General features: G+C 38.8%; 1 long non-coding RNA gene across 1 annotated transcript; it reads left to right on the top strand.

The window, feature by feature from the left end:
* Window positions 1-659: 659 nt before the first annotated feature.
* Window positions 660-23562, top strand: LOC105375247 (uncharacterized). Its single transcript, XR_927199.3, has 3 exons — window positions 660-4312; window positions 10327-10412; window positions 14532-23562. It is a non-coding gene; the product is annotated as an uncharacterized LOC105375247 (long non-coding RNA).
* Window positions 23563-24067: the final 505 nt, after the last annotated feature.

Genomic DNA, 24067 nt, shown 5'->3' with positions numbered 1-24067 from the left:
GGACAGACCGTGAAAAGCTCAAATTAAACATAAATGTATGGGCTCACTCCTTGCTCCTTAGCACCTTAGCACTCCTCCTCTTTTTACTCTATTCTGGTTATTATTACCACATGGCCATCCAAGCTGGAAATCAGGAGCTATTCCTGTCTGCCTTTCTTTCCCTCACCTGCCATGTCTTAGACAGCTAAGTACTAAGCTGTGCCCACCTTTCCTTTCTTACCCATTACCTCTGTGGGTTTCAGCATATTCCATCTCCAGTAATTTGTATGATCTTTTGTTCTAAACATTCTCCTCTTGCATGTTTGAAACTTAATGTGACCCCCACTTTTCTTTCTTTCTTTTTTTTTTTTTTTTTTTTTTTTTTTGAGACAAAGTCTCACTCTGTCACCCGGACTGGAGTACAATGGTGCGATCTTGGCTCACTGCAACCTTCACCTTTCAGGTTCAAGCGATTCTTCTGCCTCAGTCTCCCCAGTGAGTAGCTAGGATTACAGGCACTCGCCACCATGTCCAGACAATTTTTGTGTTTTTATTAGAGGCGAGGTTTCACCATGTTGGCCAGGCTGGCCTTGAATTCCTGACCTCAGGTGATCCACCCACCTCAGCCTCCCAAAGTGCAGGGATTACAGACGTGAGCCACCACACCCGGCCCATTTTTCTATCAATTATTGTTCCACATTTTTTCTGTCCTGTATGGTTACTCACCTTTGCCTATACCCAAAAGTTCCAAATGTCATCAACTCTATGATTGACATCTCTCCCATCAGCACCTTCCTATCTATTTCCACTCTCATCATCTGGGTCTTAAATACTAACAGAGCTGTACTCATATCCACGTCTGCATCCCCTCTCATCTGTGTTATTGCAGTTGCCTCCTAATTGATCCTTCCTCCTCCAGTCTGCAGCAGTCTTTCTTGTACACTGTCTGATTCATTTTCTTAAAGCAATGTTTCTCAGTGAGGTTCTCCTGCTTCAAAACTTCCAGTGGCTCTTGATTACCAGTAGAATTATGTCCAGGGGTTTCAGTTTGATGCTGGAGATTCTCCATGATCACATCTTTTATGTTGAGTTTCTCTTCTGAGTTTTGTTCATTTCTCTCCCCCAGACCCTGTCGGCCCTTTGCAGCAACCCCAGGCAGGTTATGAATGATCAGCTAGCTCATCCTGAACCAATGCTTTAATTCAAGGGCAACACAGATTAGGTTGTTTGGTTTAGTACTTCTGGCCTTCACTGCATGAGATGTAAGGTGAAGGAGGGAAAAAATATAACAGAGCAAAGATGAGTGATGTGAAAAGATGTAGATTTTTTAAAAAATCACTCCACGTTGAAGCTATCCTGATGTAAACAAGAGTGCTGGGGAAGTCATCCTCCACAGGCCAGAGGAGGGAGGTGTGGGCTCCCAGTGGGCCATGCCTGTGACTTCAAAGATACGAATGTACCAGTTGGCAATAAATATTTATAAAATGAGACATAGGTATTTAGACCATTAGCCTGCCACATAGTCCTTCTGCACAATAAAACACAAAGCTTAAATCATGATAAAAACAGGCAGAACAAATAGTAGTGGACCTAAATTGAGGCTCGGGTAAATGTTCAGATTTATTTTAAAACACGGATCTGTGCACATGGGCATTATATACAAAACAAGATTTTCAAATGGCCACAACTGTTTTGCATTCATCTCCCTTTGTTTCTTTTTTATTTTTTACAAAAGGAAAAGGTTTTCTCTAAACTCATGGTCTCTTTTCTTTTGTCTTATAACACTTCATCATATCCAATATGACTTGGGATATCTTTGCCTTGTCAAGTCATGTGATTCATTTGGTTAAATGAAAGAAAGAGGCACTTGACTCTCAGGAGGCACATTTGTTTCATCAAACCAAATTTTTAAACTTTCTTCAAAGTGTAAGCTAAGCAATTTCCAGCTATCTGTCTAATGTAGAGCCTTTCTTCTCCACAGATCTTCCTTTAAATTTACCTACCACAATCACAAACCAATAAGCTTCAGGAATGAACATACGCTGTTAAGTTCATAGAAAGGTTTAGGTGAAATGTAGGATTTATTCCAAATTCTGGCCTTTCTGAAGTCCTTGCTGATTATAAACTAATGGTTGCATTATCTTTACTTTGAGACCGTGGGAAACAACTAGATAATGAGACAAACTCACTTAAGTGAAGCAGCTAGTGCCTGACAGAGGTTTAATGTGCTATACCTTCCAAATGAAAGAGACTGCCTTCCCAGGCACCCTCAGCATCTCTACCTCTGAGGCATGGCTGCAGATTGGGGGGTCTCCCAGTCTGTGGCACTGTCCAAACCCTGTCACTGAGACCACCTTTGTAAAAATTATGACAGTGAGAAAATTTTGACCGTGAAAGAGATCTGCCATAACTAACTCTATCTTACCTTTAACCTCCAAATTTCCCTTGGTCATTTCTGAGTGTGGGACAAACTAATTTTGGGAGAAATTTAGTTTATACTTTAAATGACAATTGTTCTTCCCCAAACTAAACTTCCTTTATAAAACTAATAAAAGACCAAAAGTTTAGGAGGATGAGAGGGGCCTGAATTCTGCTAAGATGTTGGTGGATTACCAGCCATTGTTATGGAGGTCATGAGATTTTTTAACTTCTCCAAGTACTCCTATAAATAACATCACTATTGTATTAGGTTGGTGCAAAAATAGTTGTGATTTTTGCCATAATGGCTAAAACCACAATTACTTTTGCACTTATCTAATAGAGCCTAAGACTGGCCTTTTGAGATGTCTTTTCAGACTGTGGATTTCTGATGACTGGATGGCTCCACTCAGACCCATGACTCATGACAACCATTTTTCACACCCCTACCAATCAGCAGCACCCATTCTCTAGCCCCTGCCCACCAAACTATCTTTAAAAACCTCTAGCCTTCACATTTCTAGAGAGGCTGATCTGAGTAATAATACAACGGCAGTCTCCTGTTTAACCATCTCTACATGTATTAAACTCTTTCTCTATTGCAATTCTCTTGTCTTAATAAATCAGCTGTATCTGGGAAGTGGCAGAGAAGAACCCATCAGGCAGTTACATCATTTCAGCAAGGACTTTAATGGATAGATGTGGGGATTCTGGAGTATAAGCTCCAGAATCACAGGATATGGCATGGGAAAATGAACATACAGCTTAGAGTTTAGTGGTAAAAGATTGAGTTTCACTTAAATGAACTTGAACCAGTGATTTGGAATTTCTGGCCTTTAGTTCTCTCACTTATAAAATGGGAACAATAATGAGTTCTCAGTGTTTTTGTGAGGATTCACTGTGGAAGGTCTATGCCCTCTTCTCCCTGCTGCTCTCATTGCAGGAAGGAACAGCTTCAGCCATAGGTGACAGTGGCACACATCTCACTGAAGACAGAGAAGGACAAGTTGAAAACATGGATTTTTGTGTTGTACCATGTCTTATGATGGTATCATTCAACAATTTTTAAAATTAGATTTTGGAAAACATTTTTTTATCTTCTACCTCATTGTATTCTTTCAACCGCCAAGTGAAGCCAGGTAAAAGAATTATGCTCGCCAGCAAAAAATGAGATACACATGCAAGAATTGTCCACAGCCACATTGCTATTTTGTTTAGAAGCCTGTCAAGAAACTTCTTCATGTACTCCTTTATGTAATTCAATAGAATTACAAATTCTACTGGCAAAGCCCCTTTCAATTGAATAAGAGGAATTAAGAAATTTCCAGGCAAGAAACCTTTGATGGTGGCATCCATTAAAAGTTTTAGGGATGCAAGAAGTTTTCCATAAATAAACTTATTATTTTTAATTTTCAGTTGAGCCTAGCTTAAAAAATCTTTGTAAGAGAACATGAAAGAAGAATAAGTCTAGTTTCGATACATTTTATGTTTGACCAGAAGGGCTCCTCAGTTCAATTACTTTGTTTCCAGGTCAGAATTTCCAGGTCAGGCTGATTGTGGCACCCATCAATCAATATTTGTAGCCCTAATCTGAAGCTCACTGGATACCATTTTCATACATTGACAATGGGTAATTGTAACATCTTGAAAATGTATATTTTAAAGATGAGTATGATTGAAATCTCTTCCATTTCTATTTCTCCTTCCTGCAGTACTTTAAGCCTCACTGCCAATTTACAGAGCACAGAATAAAACAGAAGAGAATAAAATGATATGGGTTGCAGCTTCCCAGTTGTAACGAGCAAAAGGATAGGAGCCTCAGACTCTTAGTTCTGAACCCTGCCTGGGTTCCTCCCCAGCTCTGTGACTTTGACCAAGTTATTTGATGTCATGAGCTTCAATTTCCTCATATACAGTAAGTCCTCACTTAACATCATTGATAATTTCTTGGAAACGGTGACTTTAAGAGAATCAACTATGAGAAAACCAATTTTCCCATAGGCGAATTGATGTTAAAAATACTTAGCTTCTTACGGCATATTTCTGGTCACACAAACATCACCAAACTTCTAGATAAAGACCAAAACATTAAACATTGAAATAAATGCGAGCAATACATACATTTAGGAAGATTAATTAAAACAAGTAAAATAATTGTTATATTTACTGAGTTATTTTAGTTCAGGGCCTTGGGTGGCCGGAGTATACCCCAGCAGCTCAGGGCACAATGTGGAACCAGCCCTGGACAAGACGCCCTCCAATCTCAGGGTACACTCACACCAGGACACTTTAGACATACCAGTTAGCCCAACATGCACATCTTTGGGATATGGGAAAAAACTGGAGGGCCTGGAGAAAACCTACAACAGACATGGGGAGAATGTGGGAACTCCACACGGTCAGTGTTAGAACAAAAAAATGTGTAATGACCTTATAACAAGACCACGTTGAAAGAAGAGAGCTTATTTGAGGACCGGCTGTACAAGGATGGTGATGAGGTTGAGGAGGATGATAACTATCTCCTAGGATTATTGTGAAAATTACATAAAAAGTGTTTGAAAATTGCTAGCACGCCATCAGGAACATGATAAACACTCAATAAATGTATGCATTTGTTTTCTTTCCTCCTACATATTGTCTTCAGAGTATCTTTTTGGGGGCTCAATATGCCAAATTCCAGTTTGGATAGAAGCTTAGAAAGTTTCAACTTCCTTATAGAGTAGGATTTTAACTAGCTAGATCTTTAATTCTTGCATTCAATGAATGCACAAGCAATTTAGCTAAGTAAAGAGTTTCATGTAACCATTTCCTATAAAAATGTGTTTAAATTTGTTTTTGAGGTTGCAAGAGCATTGATGAACTTTTGGAGGGGGGATTTTGTTTATTTGCTTTTTGCCTTCTTTTTAAAAATACTTACTAATGAGATTGGTAAAGATAGCTGGTCTACCCTTGAGAAAAACCCAAGAACAGGAAAAAGAGATCCACTGAAATTCTTACCTGGAAACTAAGCAATTGAACTGCGGAGCCCTTCTGGTCAAACATAAAATGTATCAAAATGAGACTTGTTCTTCTTTCATGTTCTCTTACAAAGATTTTGTAAGCTGGACTCAGCTAAAAATTAAAAAAATAAGTTTCTTTATGGAAAACTTCCTGTGTCCCTTAATGTCCAATGAAGTATATAAAAAGCTCATTTGTAATTAGGCCCCCAGGCCTTCTAGATTCCAAGATTTTTGAAAACGTGGGGAGGAAAACAAGCCAGCTGTTTTCCCCCCTTCCCCCCCCCCCACCCCCCACCCCCCCTCTGCCGGTCCCGTACCAATAGGTAGAAACTTGAATTTACCTTGGGGGCTTTCAAAAAAACAAAACACTATAGGTATGCTTATTATGTAAATATAATGTAAGAATCCATTTATTGTTTTGGTGATTGATTGGAGCCTTGAAGAAAGGTGAAGATATGCAGTTAAGCATTCTACTTAAAACAAAATGTGATGGCAAATTTCATATGAAGTCTCAAAGACTATGCTATATTTTGGGATAATCACGTTTTTCTCTATGTAGATTTAGATGCCTTTATTTCCATGCATCTATTGCATATACTGGTGAAGTTTTTAACTCATTTATTCAACAAGAATTTACTAAATGCTTACCATGTCCTAGCCAGTGTTCGAGACATGAGAGATATAGCAACTAAAGGAAGTGTAGAAATGTTTGCCTTTAAGGAACTTACATTCTAATATAGAAAGTTAGCCATATTTTAATACTAGTTAGTATATTAATATAGAATATGAGTATATAGTTATTGGCAAAACTTAATGTGTCCAAGACGAGCCTGGGTAAAAGGAATCACTGGCTGTCCTCTCAGTGGAATGCCTTGTCTACTCCAGAGTTTATCGGAATCTATAAGGTGTTCACCTTGAACTGTTTTTGATTGACTAGGCTATTTTACAACTCTGTAGGGACAGAATTGAAGTGTAGAAACTGATAAGAACGCATAATTTCCTATCCATAGCAAAGCAAATGCTTCCTGGGCATAGCAATGAATATTAATTTTCTCAAGTAAAGAATATAAATCTCAATGAACCAGCTTTAACATCTTACTGTTCACTCATTAGTTAATAAACAAAATAAAATCTTTGACTTGTTTTTATTTTATATTTGTATGAGATACACATTAGCATTATGCTGTTTATATATTTATGTACAATATTATATTACTATATAATATGGCATATTATAAGATGATAATGTGCTAGGAAGCAAAACAATATAAGGAAAAGAGATGGAGGGAGAATTCCAGGCAGAGGGAATTGCTAGTGTAAAAGCCCAGAGATGTAAATCTGTCTATGTATTCCCGGAACAGCAAGGAGGCTCAGAAGTTTGGAGCAGATGAGATTGGAGAGATACGGGGGCGGGACAAATCTGATATAGCCTTGGGGGACTTTAAAGTTATGACTTTTCTCTGGGGACCTGGGAAGCACAGATCAGTCTCTAACAGCTCTGGGGCCAGGGCAAGAGGGAAAATAGAGATCCACAGCCACACCCTTGACCTTGCCCCTTCGCCATCTTTTAAGCTTAGAGGTATAGACAGATCTTACTCAGGTTATCCCAGAGAGGACAGACAGAGAAGAGGCTCTAGCAGAAGTGATCTGCTAGAAGTGCTAGAAGTGATCATTTGGTCAGAGAATGCCTGTCCAAGCTACTCATATTGCAGCAGCAGGGCGAGAGAGAAAAGAGAGGGGCTCTGTATGATCACCGTCTCTTGGCTCTTGAAGACAACTGTCAGTGACAGGAGGGGCTGAGTGAGGCTTAAAAATGTGGGGCTCGAGCCAGGGCTGGTAATAGGAAGGAGTGGAGGGTCCCAAGTAGCGTTGTAAAATAAGTGGACCTAAATAGTAAAAGTGTCTTTTTAACTCGGGTGGAGAACATAGCATTAGGGGTAGGGAAAGCAAGGTCTAGACAAGGCGGCAAATTAGGAGGCTACTTCATTAAGTCAGACAAAAAGTGATGGGTGCTTGGAATAAATGGTAGTGGGAGAGTCTGAGAAGAGTTCAGTTTCTGGATATATATTGAAATTAGAAGTAACAAGATTTGACAGAGCCCACATCCAATGTGAGAGAAAGGGAGAATTCAGAGATGACTCTAGAAGTATTGGCTTGGTTATCTGGAAAGAAGGAGGAGTTGCCACAGGATGAGATGAACTTTAGCTAAACATTTTGCTTTCAACATGTTTTTTCTTTTGTTCAAAGGTTAGGCTGAGATAGAGAGGAGTGTGATGATTGATTAGGGTAGTCCTCTTTCTATTTTGAAGCCTGGTTTTTGAGGCTGAGGAGAAATTCTTTTTTGTTGTTTTGGAGATGGAATCTCACTCTGTCACCCAGGCTGGAGTCAGTGGTGTGACCCTGGCTCATTGCAACCTCTGCCTCCCGGTTCAAGCAATTCTTCTGCCTCAGCCTCCTGAGTAGCTGGGATTACAGGCACCCACCACCACGCCCAGCTAATTTTTGTATTTTTAATAGAGACAGGGTTTCACCATGCTGGTCTTGAATCCCTGACCTCAGGTGATCCACTTGCCTCGGCTTCCCAAAGTGCTGGGATTACAGGTGTGAGCCACCGGGCCCACCAGGAGAAATTTTTATTTGGAGGAGGAGCCTATCAAAATGATAGAAATCTGGGAGTGAAGCTGTGGTGTCACCCTTCTTGGCTTGGGAGACTGGGAGCACAACTAGTCATAGTCAAAGTTGTTTCTCTCTTTCAATTTTTCCCCAAATTCAAGTAAAATCTCTTAAAGGTGGAAATCAGTCTTCACTATCACTCTGGGGAATTGGGACAAGGGCCTGTGTTCAAATTTGAGGCAAAGCAATGTAGAAGAAAATAAATAAATAAATAACATCTTGAAAGACTCCATGCCTAAGATGGCAAGGGGTAACCTGCCGTGACCTTCTGATAAGACCACAGAATCCATTCAAGGCAAGATGTCTCCTCAGATGAAAATGGCAACAGAGTGAAACCGCAGCTCATTCTTGGGGAGGGAAGCCCCAGCTCAATCCTGGATTTCCCACAGTCAATCAGCATGGATGCTGACACTCTTGTACCATGGGCAGTGAATCCTCATAGACTGATACCATCAAGAAGACACTTGCGGCCAGGTGCAGTGGCTCATGCCTGTAATCCCAGCACTTTGTGAGGCTGAGGCGGGTGGATCACCCAATGCCAGGAGTTTGAGACCATCCTGGCCAACATGGTGAAACCCCATCTCTACTAAAAATACAAAAAATTAGCCAGGAATGGTGGCGGGTGCGTGTAATCCCAGCTATTTGGGAGGCTGAGGCGGGAGAATCACTTGATCCCGGGAGGCGTAGGTTGCAGTGAGCCGAGATTGTGCCACTCCACTCCAGCCTGGGCAATAAGAGCAAAACATCTTCTCAAAAAAAAAAAAAAAAAAAAAAGACACTTGCCTTAGTTCACAATTAATGAGAAATCATGGTGCAGAACCAAAAATAGAACTGTTTGAACTAAAAAATATTATTTAAAAAAAAATGAACTGGAACAATACAAACAATAAAATGCAAGGTGAGTTTTGGAGTTTTGTGCCTGTATCTGTAGATCGCCCAGAATACAGTCTGTGAGCAGACACACACATTGGATCGACCCATGAGGAGCCTGTGTATTTATTTCAGGAAACCTTATCAGAAGACAAAATCAAGACACACTGGGAACCCCCTCACTCCTTTTCACACATTCTTGGAAATGTGCTAATTATTCAATCTTGTATATGAAGGTTTTATAAGATTTTTCTCTATGCAGTGTTTTTAGTTATAGCTCAATCGATCTATAAAAATATTTTGTCCTAATGATTCAGTATGTCTGACTTATGACGTTAAACTTTCTTCTGGGTCAGTTAATCTGCCTTTTGCTTTCTTCTTTGGTTGTCTATATGTCATTCCTCCTAGCTTGAAATGGAACAGCCTGCACCACTGTCAATTCTGTACCATTCATAAAACATTTTCCATTTTCCAGGCTTATACTTATAGCTCAGGCTTGCTTTTCCTCTCTAAACTGAAAGGTAACATTTATTGACATGCAATGATTCTATATTTTTATCTGCTGTTTCAGAAGGGCTTGCAAGTCATGGTGCATTAATTTCCTGCAGCTGCCAAAACAATTTATCATGAATTTGGTAGCTTAAAACAAAACAAAACAAAATTCTCTCACAGTTCTAGAGGCCAGAAGTCCAAAAACAGGGTATCCACAGGGTTATGCTGACTCCAAAGTCTCTAGGAGAGAATCTTTTCTTATCCCCTGCAGCTCTGGTGGCTCCAGGCATTCCCTGATTTGTGGCCCATCACTCCAGTCTGCCTTAGTCTTCACAGGGACTTCTACTGTAGTCCACATCCTCTCTCTTCTGTCTGCCTTCAATCTCCCTCTGTCTTTTCCTGATATTTGTCATTAGATTAGGGTTCAATTACATAATCCAAGATGAACCCATCTCAAGATTTTTAACTTACTTAGATTTGTTTAGATTCTTTTTCCAAATAAGGTCACATTTATGGGTTATAAGGTTTAGGACATGGACATATCTTTTTAGAAGCCACAATTCAACTCACAGCACTTACTGGGTGAATGATCTCTGCTCCCAGGTCTTTGTTACTACAGCGGCTATTGGTTATCAAAAGTGATGTTGCCAATGTGAATTTCAGGAAGTAACAGGCATCACTGGGTTCCAGGATGAGCAGCTATTGGTATAAGTCTGCTCTTCATTAAGTACCTGCATTTAAACCATCCTTGGCTAAACATAAATGTCCCCTTTTTTTTTTTGTAAACTTATAAACCAGGGGCATATAGTATGTTAAATAGAAATTGTTCACTTAAGAATCATACCCAGTATTGATTAGATTTATATAGTCTTTCTGTATTTCCTATTTTTTTCAGAGTAGAAAACACTTGAAATTTCAACAATGTACAGCAGGTTGTCAGATTTAGCAGGTATCCAAAGGAATTGTGAAACTTCACTGAAGGTAAGTATTTTCTGGTATGATGTCTCTAATACTTCAAAGAAAGATTTCAGCTGGGCACATTATTACTACAGCAGACAAGGGCATAGTGACCACAAGCTGTAATTGATTTGGACTGAAACCTTCCAAGAGATAGAAAGCCATAACTTGAATTCAGGAATAGTAAATGAGTCTATTAGTTAAGATGGCAACACTGTAAATAAATATAGCAATATGAGCCTTCCATTTTAAACAAGCTTTATTAATTATGTGAATTAGAAGAGTCAGTCCTCAAATGCTCATCTATAACTTTCATTGGCCAGATGGGTTATAGTCCCAATAGCACACTTTGACTCAGAGTATGTTCATGTGTATGTCTGTGTGCTAACATATGCTCATCATTTAGACATGTGCAATGCACTCCGTCTTCTGTAAGAAATGACTTGTGAGTGGCTGAAATTTGAAACACATGTTGTTGCCATAATAAGATAGGGTACCAAGGAAGAATTTACTAATGTGATTAGCAAAGATCTAGGGGTCTCTAAGCAATTCTATTACATGTAGACGTTCTGGTGCAAGGACATGAAAATTGATGAATGGTTTTGATTTAGAAGTATAAAACTCTAATTATAGCACAGAAATGAGTTATAAATCTATTAAGAAATATAAATGTCAGAATGCATAGGATTTTGAGACATCTCAACCACACTTAAATATAGTGGATTAGGAATGCTCTACAAGGGATAGTAAACTATCTAGTTCAAAAAAACAAGGAAATTTGGAGTATTCCCCTCTCCATCACATGAATTAATTATGGCCAATATTACAAGTTCTCTAAGTCTTAAGGATCTAAGTTTCATTTACAATGAAAAATGTTTCCATTTAAACTAGGTTTAGTAACTGAATCCCTGAGGCAATGCCTGAAATCCACCATGAAAGTATAAAAGAAAGATACCTATGAGATTTCCTTATAGTTGTAATTTAGACAAGAAGTAGCTGTTCTGCGGGGTTGGGCAAAGGAACTGCAAAGATGGGAAATTAGTGGTGGTGGTGGGGTTTCTTTAGGAACCTGGCATATGAAAAGAATCCACATATTATCTCTTGAGGAAGCAAGTTGAAGACTGAGACAAACGTAGAACTCCAAGGACTTAGACTCCCTTGTTTTTGTACTTTCCTCTGCAGAGCTGACATAACTAAAATAATTTCCACTGACAGTTATGGCCCTCCAAGAGAAGCAAAGAAATTGACACTATGCCGGTTGCCTAGGTTAATGTACTCTTGCAATGGGATATTACGGGGGATGAAAGAGACAGGTTGATTGAGGCATTAAGCCTTCTGATTTTTTTCACTTGGCTTGAAGGAATGCCAAGGAGGCCCCATCATGAATATCATCTGAAAAATCATGCTAAATAGTACCATAAGGTATGATAACTTAGAAGGTGGTTTTCAAACTGTCTTATGCCCCAGACTCCAAATAATTTTCTGGGAACAAGTTACATCTATAGTAGAAATCATTATTTGAGAAGCAGTAGAGCCTGGACCTGGAAACTCATTTCACTTCTCCCTCACCTCAGCTCCACCTCCCCTGGGGTCCCCAGAGGCAGAATTGTAACTCCCCATGAAACATTGTTTGGGTTTGAAAAATCGCTCATCTACCAGGAAGATCAAGGGAAATGCTGCCTTAGGCTTAGGAAATGATTTTATCTCCTCTTTTTCTCTTTTGTTCTCCTGTCACGTCGTCCTCCTTTTTCTTTTTGTCTCTCTTTTTCTTGACACTTTTGTTTTAAAAGTTTGGTGTGTCATTTTTCCCGAAATTACATAATCGTAATAACTTGACTTTTAAGGTTAGCTCAGTCTAACCCTTGGGAGAAGGAGTTTCGTATTTTGTTGTATACCACAATCATGTCATCAGAGCTTGGCCTGTAGTCCATTATCACCTCTTCAGCCTCGTTTTTCCTCTGGAAAACCAGATTTCTGTGGTCTTGACTGTGAAGACTTCCTAATCCCCTTCAGTAAGGTAGTTTTTCCTCTCCCTCTTACTAGAGTTCAAATTCATTGTTTTCCTGCTCATGTCCTTGGTCATTCTCTCTCTCTCTTCTTAATAGTTGGTATAGAATCTGATGCAGAAAACCCAGTAGGTATTATTATTTTGTAAGTAATACCCAATCTTTTCAAAATCAAAATTCTTATAAAATAAAATAAAGTAAGTAATAGTGAGAACTCTAATCCCAAGTAAGTTCAAGTCATAATCGGTATATGCACGTTCAGTAACTCTAACTCTTTTACTTCATCTAACTCTTTTGCTCCCAGTCACTATTTACAACAGCAAAACAAATTAAAAATAGTAAATCATAGAAGAGAAGTGTGCCCACTATGACTCTACAGAAAGCGTGTTTCTCGAGGGCAACAAGCCTAGGAATGTTTCATTAGTATACTCTGCTGTGTGCACCTAAGCTCTTAATGCTCAGCACAATTGAATGCTGATGTGCGTTGAGCCAGATCACTTTCAAAGTCTTATTGGGAACTGAGCCCTGGCTTATTAAGGTGCTGTCTCTCATTATTGCTGCAGCCTCTGCAGATGGAGAAAACACACCCTTTACACTTGTAGACAATCCCTGTATTATTTTCCTTCTGGGTAGTCTTGCCTTCATTATACATGGACATACTCATGGAATTTATACTACCATAGTGCTTCTTTTTCCTCATCATACAACATGGTCTGGTGATCTGCTGAGTAAGTACCAGGAGTAGGGAAGTTAGTCACCCCTAGGATTTTAGCAGGAAAGGCAGAGTGCTTTGCCAAGCCTCCCTTGGGCAGGACTGTCTCTGCATTCACGGCTGTGTCTTCCCAACCTGTGTTCTCCAGTAGGAAAGAATGTTTAACACTGATGCTCTACTGTGGCCTGACATGCATTCTTCTGACTGAATGAGGAACCATCTTGTCTATCCACATTTAAGTGTGGAAGAAAAAATACTAAAATAGATCCAAGAAAAATTCTTCTCCAAACTCCTTAGATTTGTGGCTAGTGCTCTCCTGAAAGAATAATGAAGTTGTTCATTAAGTGCCTGGTATGCTCCTAGGAGCTGGCTTTGGTTCCATGGAATGGGGATGAGGGTAGAGAAAAAGCCACAGTCCTCTCTGCCAGAGAACAGACACGGCTGACCTTTCCAGTGGACAGATGTGCCTGTTCTCTGGCAGAAAAGACTGTGGCTTTTTCTCTACACCCATCTCCGCCCAACTGCCTGCCCCAGTTTCAGGAATGGCACCATTAGAGTTTAATTCCTTTGGGTCTGGAAGGCTTTTTAGTCTAAAAACAGTCCATATTAACCCCTCCCCACAATAAAATGTAGATATATGTACCCTTGGGATTGTTCAGTTCAGTAAGATCAAAGAACAGTGGAAATATTTAGGTGTCCTAAATTATAAATGGGGCGAATGTTTATTATCTTTTTCTAGCAAGACTTCTGAGTTTATCTTCATCAATTTGAGCAAAAAATTTAAAATACAATCTCCTACAAGGTAGGGCGTTAGTTCATTTCTTTTCTTTGTACAGAGGCCGTCATAAGAATGTTCATGAGATTCTATGTAAGTGGCTCTTAGAAATCTGGGGTTGGAAAGCAAAGCCCTTAAATGCCTTCTAATAATTATCCACAAGTGGAATACACTGGCATCCATTAAAAATTACAGAGGTTATTCCAATATGAAAAACTAGTTTTGCAATTTTGTTTACTATGATGAGTTTCATTTTAAATTGAAATTAAAATGTGTTAGTTCCTATTGATACAGTCTCAAGTATTGTCAAAACCAACAAACACATTAGAAAGCTATCTAAGACAAAGCTGAAATAGAAAGAGACAAACACAAATACTGAATGGTTGAAGCATAATGGAGCTCTCTTTTTGTTGAATCTATGATACAGCGGTAAAAACTAGCTTTGCAAAATTACGACATGAGAGTGTATTTCCTATTCTTTGGTTTGATTTCTGTTAGGTGTTTGAAGCATATTACATTCTTTCTGGGTGTTCACACTATCAATATTTGCAGTGGGAAGATCAATGTTAGACATTGGGTGAAGGACTCTGTATATAGGTAATGAAGAAACACCTATAAATTGTCTTCCCTCCCGACTTTTCTCCCTTCAGCGAATGCTCTGTTCTTTTATCCATGAGGGGCCATTTCTGGTGACCTACTTATACATTTGGGATGTGTTATAGAATGAATGCCAACTGGCCTGCCGACCAAGCTGGAAGATACACACACCCAGAGGACTCTATGGTAGCACTGGGCATAAAAAACATGCCTCCTGGAAGTGTGCCTGCCAGCATTCTCCGGTTATTTTATAAGACATGGCCTTTCTTGAATGTATCTACAGTTCAGAGAAAATTCAGCCTGCAACTGGAACCCTGAATTCACTCAGGAAATGTGGCAGTAATATGTGAGACATATTTCTGGTTCTGAGCCAGCCTCGTAGGCACAGTAACACCAGGGACTTAAGGTTGAAAATGTGGTTTCAATAAGAATGTTCTCAAGGAAATGTGTGTATTGGAGATAATTTAGATCTACGTGGAGACTTGCACAGACCTCTACAAAGCCCTAGGAAGAATATCCGAGATCTGTATAACATAAAAACTGTGAGTCTAGTAAAAAGCTCAGATTCCTTATTAGAGCCTTTCCTTCTTTGCTCAGTATTACAGGCTGCCAGATAGTGTAGTTTCTCTGGAAAATCTTGATTTTTATTAAGGGCTTATCTAGAACAAATTATATGACAGATAAAAAAATTGAATCATGAAATTTTTAACTACTAAGTAGCTTTAGAGTATATGTAAATCATAAATTATTTTATATACACATACACACACACTCTTCACTTATAAAACACAAATCAGTAAATAATCTTCTCCCTTATAAAGAACACTAAAAATTAGTCTATAACTTCCTGGGGCAAAGCAGAAATTTTCACATTTAAAAGGTTTGTGTTAGCTCTCATAGCTTTAAAAACACAAAACAGACAAACAAAACACTCCAGATGGTTTTGAGGGGTGTACACTACAAAGCTGAGACAGTAATAAGAATCTTTATCCAGGTGAGGTACAGCACATATTCTATCAACGTTTTTGCCATTTTCTGTGAGTTTAGGTTTGGCACATGCGATCAGAACTCAATGCCTTTTCGTGTTGCTGTTTTTGGGAAAGAGAAGGATCTGATTGTAGTTAGAAGTTTGGCTCCAGAGCAATGAGATGTGTTGAACCTCAGAAAATCTCAGACAGGAAGATTAGTTCCTCTATAAGTATTCAAAGGTTTATGGACACAAAGCTCATCTGAACTCTCTAAACCTATGGAGTCTGCCAAGTTGGCTAGAATAACTGACAGGATTGGGCTTTTTCCCAAGCCTTCCATCACTTTCACTCTGATCCCTGCCAGAAATCAAACAAGAAAAAGCCTTTCTTGTCGTGTTTTGACACCCCCTGCTTTAGTCCCTGCTATAAACTCGGCATCCAAATATTTCAGCATATCAACTGAAGGTTGATAATATACATGGGCAAAGGTTCAAAGGGTGGCTAAGAGCCTGAAAAAGGGTCACTCAACCTTACATAAATAACATACTCCGAGCATACATTACAAAGTGACTGATTCCAGGTCCAGCCATGTTACCGGAGTGTTTTCCTATAGCCTGGATGTCTCCAGTAGCACTATGCTGGGTGTAATGTCCAGTTTAATAGGCATACTCTATGGCTGCAAAAAAATACTATCTGTAATGGAAAATTTTCCTTCTATGTGAAAGAAAAAGTTTTAGAAAACAAAAACCAGCATTCAGTAAATCGGTTAGGTATGAATATTTCCCTAGTCATGGTATATATTGGTCATAGAAAAAGCTAACATTTTTTTCTTTCTTTTTTATTGAGATGGGATCTGCTAAGTTGCCTAGGCTGGTCTTAAGCCCCTGGGGCTCAAATGATATTCCTGTGTAGCTGAGATTACAGGTGCACAGCACTGCACCCTGCTTTAACATTTCATTCTTTAATTAAACTTTTAACACATTTTATACACACTGATTTCTCATGTGCACTGCAGCTATATTTTATTTCCTTCCCACTTAATATTTGACCTTAGTTTATCTAATCTGACAGCTTAATCCATAGTTTAAGGAGCTATATCTCTGATTTACCTAAAGGTAAATATTGTCATCAGTTGCTTCTACCACAAGAATATATTGGACTTAATATTATTTCCATTATGTTACAAACTAATGGATCTCTGCCTTATCTAGGGTATTCAGCACCAAGACAGCTATGGACCACCATATATACACAATGCAACATTATGACCAAAGATCCCTTTTCAAGTGTTTTCAAAACTGCAGATTATAACTGATATACTCATAAAGTCAGTTTATTGGGTGACAAACAGACATTTTGAAAGTGAAATAGAGTAACCTAAACTAGGATAGAAAACATCAGAGTTCATCCTATGTAGCATGAGTAACCAAGCAACTGGTGTCATTATAGAATTCTGCAGTAGTTACGTATGTGTGTGCATATATCCTAGTCATCATGTAGAATGTGTTCTTTCCCAAGAATCACAGTCCAAAAGTTTGAGAGCCATTGATCTAGTGAGGCATCTAGCTACTCTTGGTTTAAATTTTTATTTATGTCTATTCTCACCACAGAGGACAGAGTGGGGGACCTTTTCAAATCTAAGTCAGTCCAGGTTTGCTCATTTGCTCAGAACCCACCAATGACTTCCCCCTTTAACTCCCAGGCACTTCTGAGCCAGAAGCTCTCCACTGTCCCCTTCATGTGCTCAGTCCCAGTCATGAATGACTCCACTCTGGTCCTCAAATGCATCGGGTGTGAGCCTGCCTCAGCCCTAGCCCAGGTTGTTCTCTTGGCTGGGATTATCTTTTCCAAGATCTGGTTCTTTCTCTCACATCTTTAAATCTTGCTTTAATATCTCTTTGTGTGTGAGGCCTCCCCTGACTATCCTATTTGAAATTGTGACCAATGCCCCTGGCTAGCCCTATGCACCCCCTTCCTCTGCCCTATTTTTTCAGTGACACTTACCACCATCCTGTATGATTGACTTGTTGTGACATTTAGTCTCTGTGTCTCTCAACTAAGAAGTGAACTCCAGAAAGACAAGAATTTCTTCTGTTCATGCCTATAGACCTTTGATACTTAAACCTGTGCATTCTACAAAGTAAGCACTTAATTTCTATTTGTGGAATTCACTGCATTTAGGGAAGAACTGCATTAAAATCCATGAACTGGAGCACTTTTCTTTGCCTGCAGGCAATTGGAGGTGTTAGAGATCTTCAAACTGTGCCTAATTCCCATTAATTCCAGCTCATCCCTCTATTCTGCTATGGAGTGGAATTCATGAGTGTCCGCCGATGGCTCATGCTAAGCCGAGAGACTGACTAGATGAAAGGCACATATCATAGCAAATAAATTCACACTTTCTGATCACCGACAGTGTCCTTTTGTGCTTTAGTCCCCACTGACTTTTGTAGTCTCATTCCTCATTTCCCCTGGCTCTTCACAGACTCCACCTGCGTACCCAGAACCTATTTTCTAGACCCAGTGCAGCAACTGTAGTTGTCTGTCTACACTGTCTTCATGATTTCATACTTTTAAACATACTATTCCCATTGCCTGGTGGGAATGAGATTTTCTTGCCCTTTGCCATTTGCAGAACTTTTATTTATTTATCTAGAATAGAAACTTTCCCTAATTTGTGGACCATTTTCTGGCCTGCCATCCAGGTGTTCTTGGTGCTCAGGAGACAGCCTGGTTGAGTAGAGAGAGGACAAGGCAAGACGAACCAAACTTTGCTGTATACTAGCTTTGTGAACTTAGCAAAGTACTTTTGCCTCAGTTTTCTCACCTGTTGAGTGGGAGAATAGGGCTATTTTATGGGGCTGTCTTAAACTTATTGAAATGGCATTGCCAAGCCTGATGCCAGTGTGTGGCAATGGTGGGGGGATGTGTCACTCTCCTCTCCCCTCTTCTGAAACACTGTGTGCACATCCCTGTCACCACTCATCCACTCTGGGCAGTTAGTGGTTTATTTCTCAGTCTCCTATAATTGACTGAAGTTCCTGAAAACCATGACCAGGTTCTACTCATGTTTGCATTGCAGGACGCAGCAAAGCTCCAGGCATAGCACAGGTGCTCAGTCGATGTTTGTGTAATAGAAAGGTGATGACAATGAAATTAATAATTATAAATGGCTAGCATTTATTAAGGGCTATTGAGTCAGTATGTCACATGGATCACCTCTTGTATTCCTCACAACAATTCTGCAAGCCTGTGTTCCTTCTTATTCTCCCCATCTTACAGATGAAGTAACTAATTCTCAGAGAGTTTAAATAACTTGCCCAAAGGCACAGAGCTCTGATGGAATGGAGCTGGAGTTTAAAGCCAGTCAGTGCACTGAATGAGCTTCAAACTATAGACCACACCTCTGACTGGAATTTTCTTATTTCAGGGGTAAGCCCTTGGTCAATCCTGATGCTATTTCCATGGTTCCCCACTCTACATACAAAACAATCCTGCTGGACAGGCCCAGACATCTGGCCAATGGGAACTGGACAAAGCTCCATCTGGAAGCCATCAGCACCTCTCACGGGTCAGCTGTGAGAGATTTTATTTCAAATGACCCAATACATTTCCTCTGCTTCCCCCTCACAGACAAATTTGTTGGCTGCACTGTTCTGATAGTTTAGGGGTAAAGGCCCCACTTAAATGTCAACTTAATCTCAAATCAGTGAGTCCCCAAATGCTATTTGCTATTGTTGGGGCGTATGTTTCCATTTTCCAACCAAATCTACTTCAGAGGCACTCAGATGGCTTCCATGGTTTCCAGGTACTATAGATCTGAGAGCTGAGAGCTCAGACTGGTCCTAATTATGCATTTTTTTTTCTATTCATCTAAACAGCTTAAGGTGGATTGCCTTATTGCACACCACTTTTCTGCTTTCAAGATTAAGAATTTGATGGCACATATTCCCTCTGCTTCCTAAAACTGACCATGGGCCTGAAAGTCAGAGAGTCAGAGATGACCATGAATCCCTTGTAGACAATATTAATCACATCCTTATACTTCACACTTCACTGGAGAGCAAAATGAAGGTGGTGGGGCAAGTGGAGCCATAATGAAGTATTTGATTCCTATTCCACTGTCATAACTCATAGTTATCAACCCAGCCAGAAAATCACAACTGAATACTTAATAAAACGCATTCAGATTCTTTACCCTCAAGATTCAGAGACTTAAAAATCATCAAAGTACACAAACTCCTTATTCTACTCTTAACAGTAACACTTGTCTTGATTCTTATATTTTAATATTCAAAAATACTTTTTTCAGGAAACAAAACATCAGAATCAAAGATGAATTTCCTAAGCACCCAGGGAAGCATCCCTCAAAATTTCAAAAATCTTTCTGATATAATCAGGAAGGAAAGCTTTGAGACCAAACACTCTGTCTATGCAACAACATACAGTTACAATAGAAAATTCATGTTTATTTTTCACATGACTTCTTTTGCTAATGAAAGCACACATTTTCCTAAAGCCCTCTTACCCAAAGAATGTTGTGGCTGCAGTTTTCTTGTAAAATATAATATGATTTTTTAATTAAAAAGTTTTAAATTTTGCATACACATATACACACACACACCTTGGTTTATCTCTCCAAAATCACATCCTAGAAGTGGATTTGTGAATCAAGACATATGCACACTTAAGAAAGCACATCTTTAATCAAATGGCCCTCCAGGAAAATTGTACCAATCTATGCAAACAATAGGAAATGAACTCCAATATTTGAAATGAGAGAAATAGTTACATGGATAAATTATATTCAAAACAAACAATATTTAACACATATCTACCATGTACAACTCCAACTTGTAAGACAATAGGGTCTAGTTATCTTGGTTTAACTTTAGAGCTTAATGGCATGGGGTGGTTTGTATTCTCTTGCTTCCCAGAAAAAAGCACTAAGTGTGATAGGATCAATGGTTGCGATTGCAGGTGTAAGCTGGGACTAAAACTTTCATCCTCTGTGATACCCTCCTTATGCATCCTGATTTTCTAGGCCAGTATATTTGATGATTTCTGGATAATCAAAAATTATTGAGCAAATTTAATGGAAAAATATCATGACTGGTGAATTTCAGGCTAAAAAAATAAAGATATGTGATTCCTATATAAAATACCTTGGTATGTCAGCTTTGTAGGCTTATAGAAAATAGTGACTCTCATTTTATTCATTCAGTAGATATTTATTGAGTGCCTACTAGGTATCAAACACTGTGCTACAGGCTTGAGATCCAGTGATGAGCTACATAACTATTGTTCATAGAGTCCGCATCCAGGTAGCTATGGAATCACAAATGTACCAATTGCTATGAAGTACTGTGTGTTATGACAGGGAAAAATAGGGGAATTAGAGCAGATAAAGAGTAGGGACATTTCTGGATAAGTGTCTTTTGAAGGAAGACGAATTAACCAGATCAAAGATGGGAGTTCTGGCAGTTCCTTAAAAGTTTAATTTTGAGTTACAATATGACCTGGCAATTCCACTCCTATGTATGTACCCAAGAAAAATAAAAACACACCTGCACAAAATCTTGTACCTGAAAGTTCATAGCAGTATTATTCATAACAGCTAAAAAGTAAACACAGTTAATGAAGTGATAAATACCATGTGTTATTTCTATACAATGGAATATTATTTGGTAATAAAAAGACATATACTATTGATACATGATACAATGTGGATAAACCTCAAAAACACTATGCTAAATGAAAGAAGCCAGACACAAAGGCCATGTATTATACAGTCCCTTTTATATTAATTGTCTATGATAGACAAATCTGTAAAGACAAAGTATAATAGTAGTTGCCTGAGCTTGAGATGAGGAGGTTGGGGGAAAATGGAGAGTGACTGCCAATGGATACAGAATTTCTTTTGGGGATGATGAAAATGTTTCAGCATGGACTCTAATGATGGCTTGCACAGCTCTGTGAATACACTAAAAACCGCTGAATTTTACATTTTGAGTGGATATATTGTATGAGATGTGAATTATATCTCAATAAAGCTGTAATATTATAAAAAAAGGAAAGGAAAAAAAGGAGCTACTTCGAGAGATTCATTAATCACATGTAAGTCCATTAGTGGAAGCCCGTGAAGAAAGGAGTGGGGGTTGGTTTCCTCTGCCTTGGGCTCCCTGGAAACTCATTTTCCCATGGAAAAAATGAGAATAAAACTCATCAAATTTTACATCAGTCAAGTCACTTTATTATGTGTCATTTTAGCTGCCAAAAAACACAGGTCGGGCTAACATGTAATCATTGATCAGCGGACCTTGTTTCTTATATGCCTCTCCCTCATTTTCTGTTTATATTAGATCATAGCCACAGTGGAGGTTAAGGCGGAGTTACAGGACTTTAAAATGTACTAAAGTTGTCAGTGAACCTTCTAGCATACAGTAAAGGCCTGAGTTTTCCTTTGAGTTTTTGTTAAGTTAGTTACTGCCATGTACGTCATGGTCAGCAAGCAATAGTGGCTGAATATTGAACCGGGTTTTTTCTAAAGTGATGAAAGATCCTCAAGCCATTGTTGAGTTTTTAATTTTTTTCGGATAGTTTATCCATTTAACAACCAAGTATAATGCTGGGAGGTACAATTGTACTAAGAAATTTGGTCCCAGGAGGGGAGATCCTGGGAAAGATCCTGGGGAGATCCTCCAAAATACAAAGCAATGGACTATGGATATGAAATTGCTACAGTCCAAGCATTTTGGAGGAAAACAGAAGGTCCTTCTAACAGTAGCAAAACTTTTTTGGATTCTTTTAAATTTATATGCACTGACATAGGTCATGGATTTTGAATGACTTGTTCAATCACTGGCATGAGATAGGACTGTTCTAAGGAGCTGGAGGTTATCCTTGCCAAGATCTCAGTGGGATATGGCTCTGTATTTGAGGTTGAAGTAGATTCCCTTTGAACTGTCCTAGGATTTTTCTTTTTTCTTTATGCAGTTTTTTTTAAAGAAGAGAAATGTAAATTGCTTTTCCTTATGCCTTGAAAAACTTATTCAAATAAACTGGAAGGAAATATACCATAATTTAAATAGTGGTTATTTATAGTTTACAATAACTTGTTTTGAAATTTTCTGCAATGAAGTTTTATTACATCTGGGTCAGAGAAAAAAAATATGTGCCCTTGAATTTCTCTAGGAAAGTCAATTGTTTATTTGCTTCTTAATTCAAGATAGCATCTGGAATTCTAGTTGCTCTAATGCCCTCAGTTTTCTCTTTATTTATTACATCATACAGCATGGGTTTTGGAGTCAAACAAACTAAGGTTTAAATCTCTCCTTTGGCTGACAGAAGAGAACTAATGTAAGATGCTGCCTCTTGATGCCAAAACCAACTCTGGAGATGAAACAAAAGCAGGACAGGAGTTGATTGTTCTCAGATCTTTAAAACTGAAAAATTCAGGGAGAGACGAATATGGAAAGGAAAAGAAACAGCAGGCAGTAGAAGTGGATCAAGTACCCGAGGGAAGGAAAATTAGTGGGAATTCTGCCTCAAGGGGTGCAAAACAGCAGCTGTGGCAGCTGGGGTGAACAGAGAACATTAAGGTCAGTCTTGCCTTCCTTCCACCCCAGGTCCTTACGGCAGAGAAAAGGTTGATCTTTCTCAGGCAAATGTAAGGGCAAGTTCCCTTAGGGATAAGGGAAATGGAAGGAGGTGGGCCTAGGTTGTAACTTTCTAGGTTTCTCACTTGAACTATACCCCCACAGTGAAACTACTCTGTATGGCATTATAGTAATGAACGCATGTCGTTATGCACTTGTCCAAACCCACAGAGTACACAGCACCAATGGTGAACCCTAATATAAACTCTGAAGGGTGGGTGATAATGACGTGTCAGTGTAGGTCCATCAGCTGCAAATGGACCACTGTGTGCCTGATAGCAGGGAAGGCTGTGTATGTGTGGGAACAGGCAGGATACGGAAACTCTCTATACTTTCTGCTCCACTTTGTTTGAACCTCAAACTGCTCTAAAAAGTAACGTTTACTAGTTTTAAAAGACATAAGGGTTTATTCAATAATTTGAATATTGTTTAATATAAAATTTATCAATTTACCCTCCAGGGTAGAAAACTAGGCTAATGGAAAAATATCTTATTATTATCTCAATCATTATTAAAAATACTTACAATTCAATGTCTATGAATGACATAATTTTTTTAGAAGGACTAGAAGGATATTTTCCTAATTTATTCAATTATTACTTTTAATAGCAAAAGCTGCAATTACTTTCGCACCAACCTAATATTTATTTTAAAAAGCTACGATGAACACCAGTTTTAATAATGAATATTACATACATTCTTTTTAGATAAGGAGTAAGACAAGGATGGCTGCCCTGGTGTTCTTACCATAAACCCTGAAGGTCCTGGCTAAAATGATAACCCATGAAAAAGAAGAACTTTAAGAATTGAGAAGCAAAAGACAGAAGTATTTTATTTGCAGCTAACGTAATCATCTGTACGGAAACCCCAGCAGAACTAACAAATTTATTGGCTATTAGTAAAAAGTAAATTAAGTTGCCAAATAAGATCAACTTATAAGAATCAATAACCTCTTTTCACACT

This window comes from Homo sapiens, chromosome 7 (genome assembly GCF_000001405.40).
Source record: "Homo sapiens chromosome 7, GRCh38.p14 Primary Assembly".
Lineage (NCBI taxonomy): Eukaryota > Metazoa > Chordata > Mammalia > Primates > Hominidae > Homo > Homo sapiens.
Note: the sequence above shows the minus strand (reverse complement) of the source record. Positions and strands in the feature narration are given on the sequence as shown.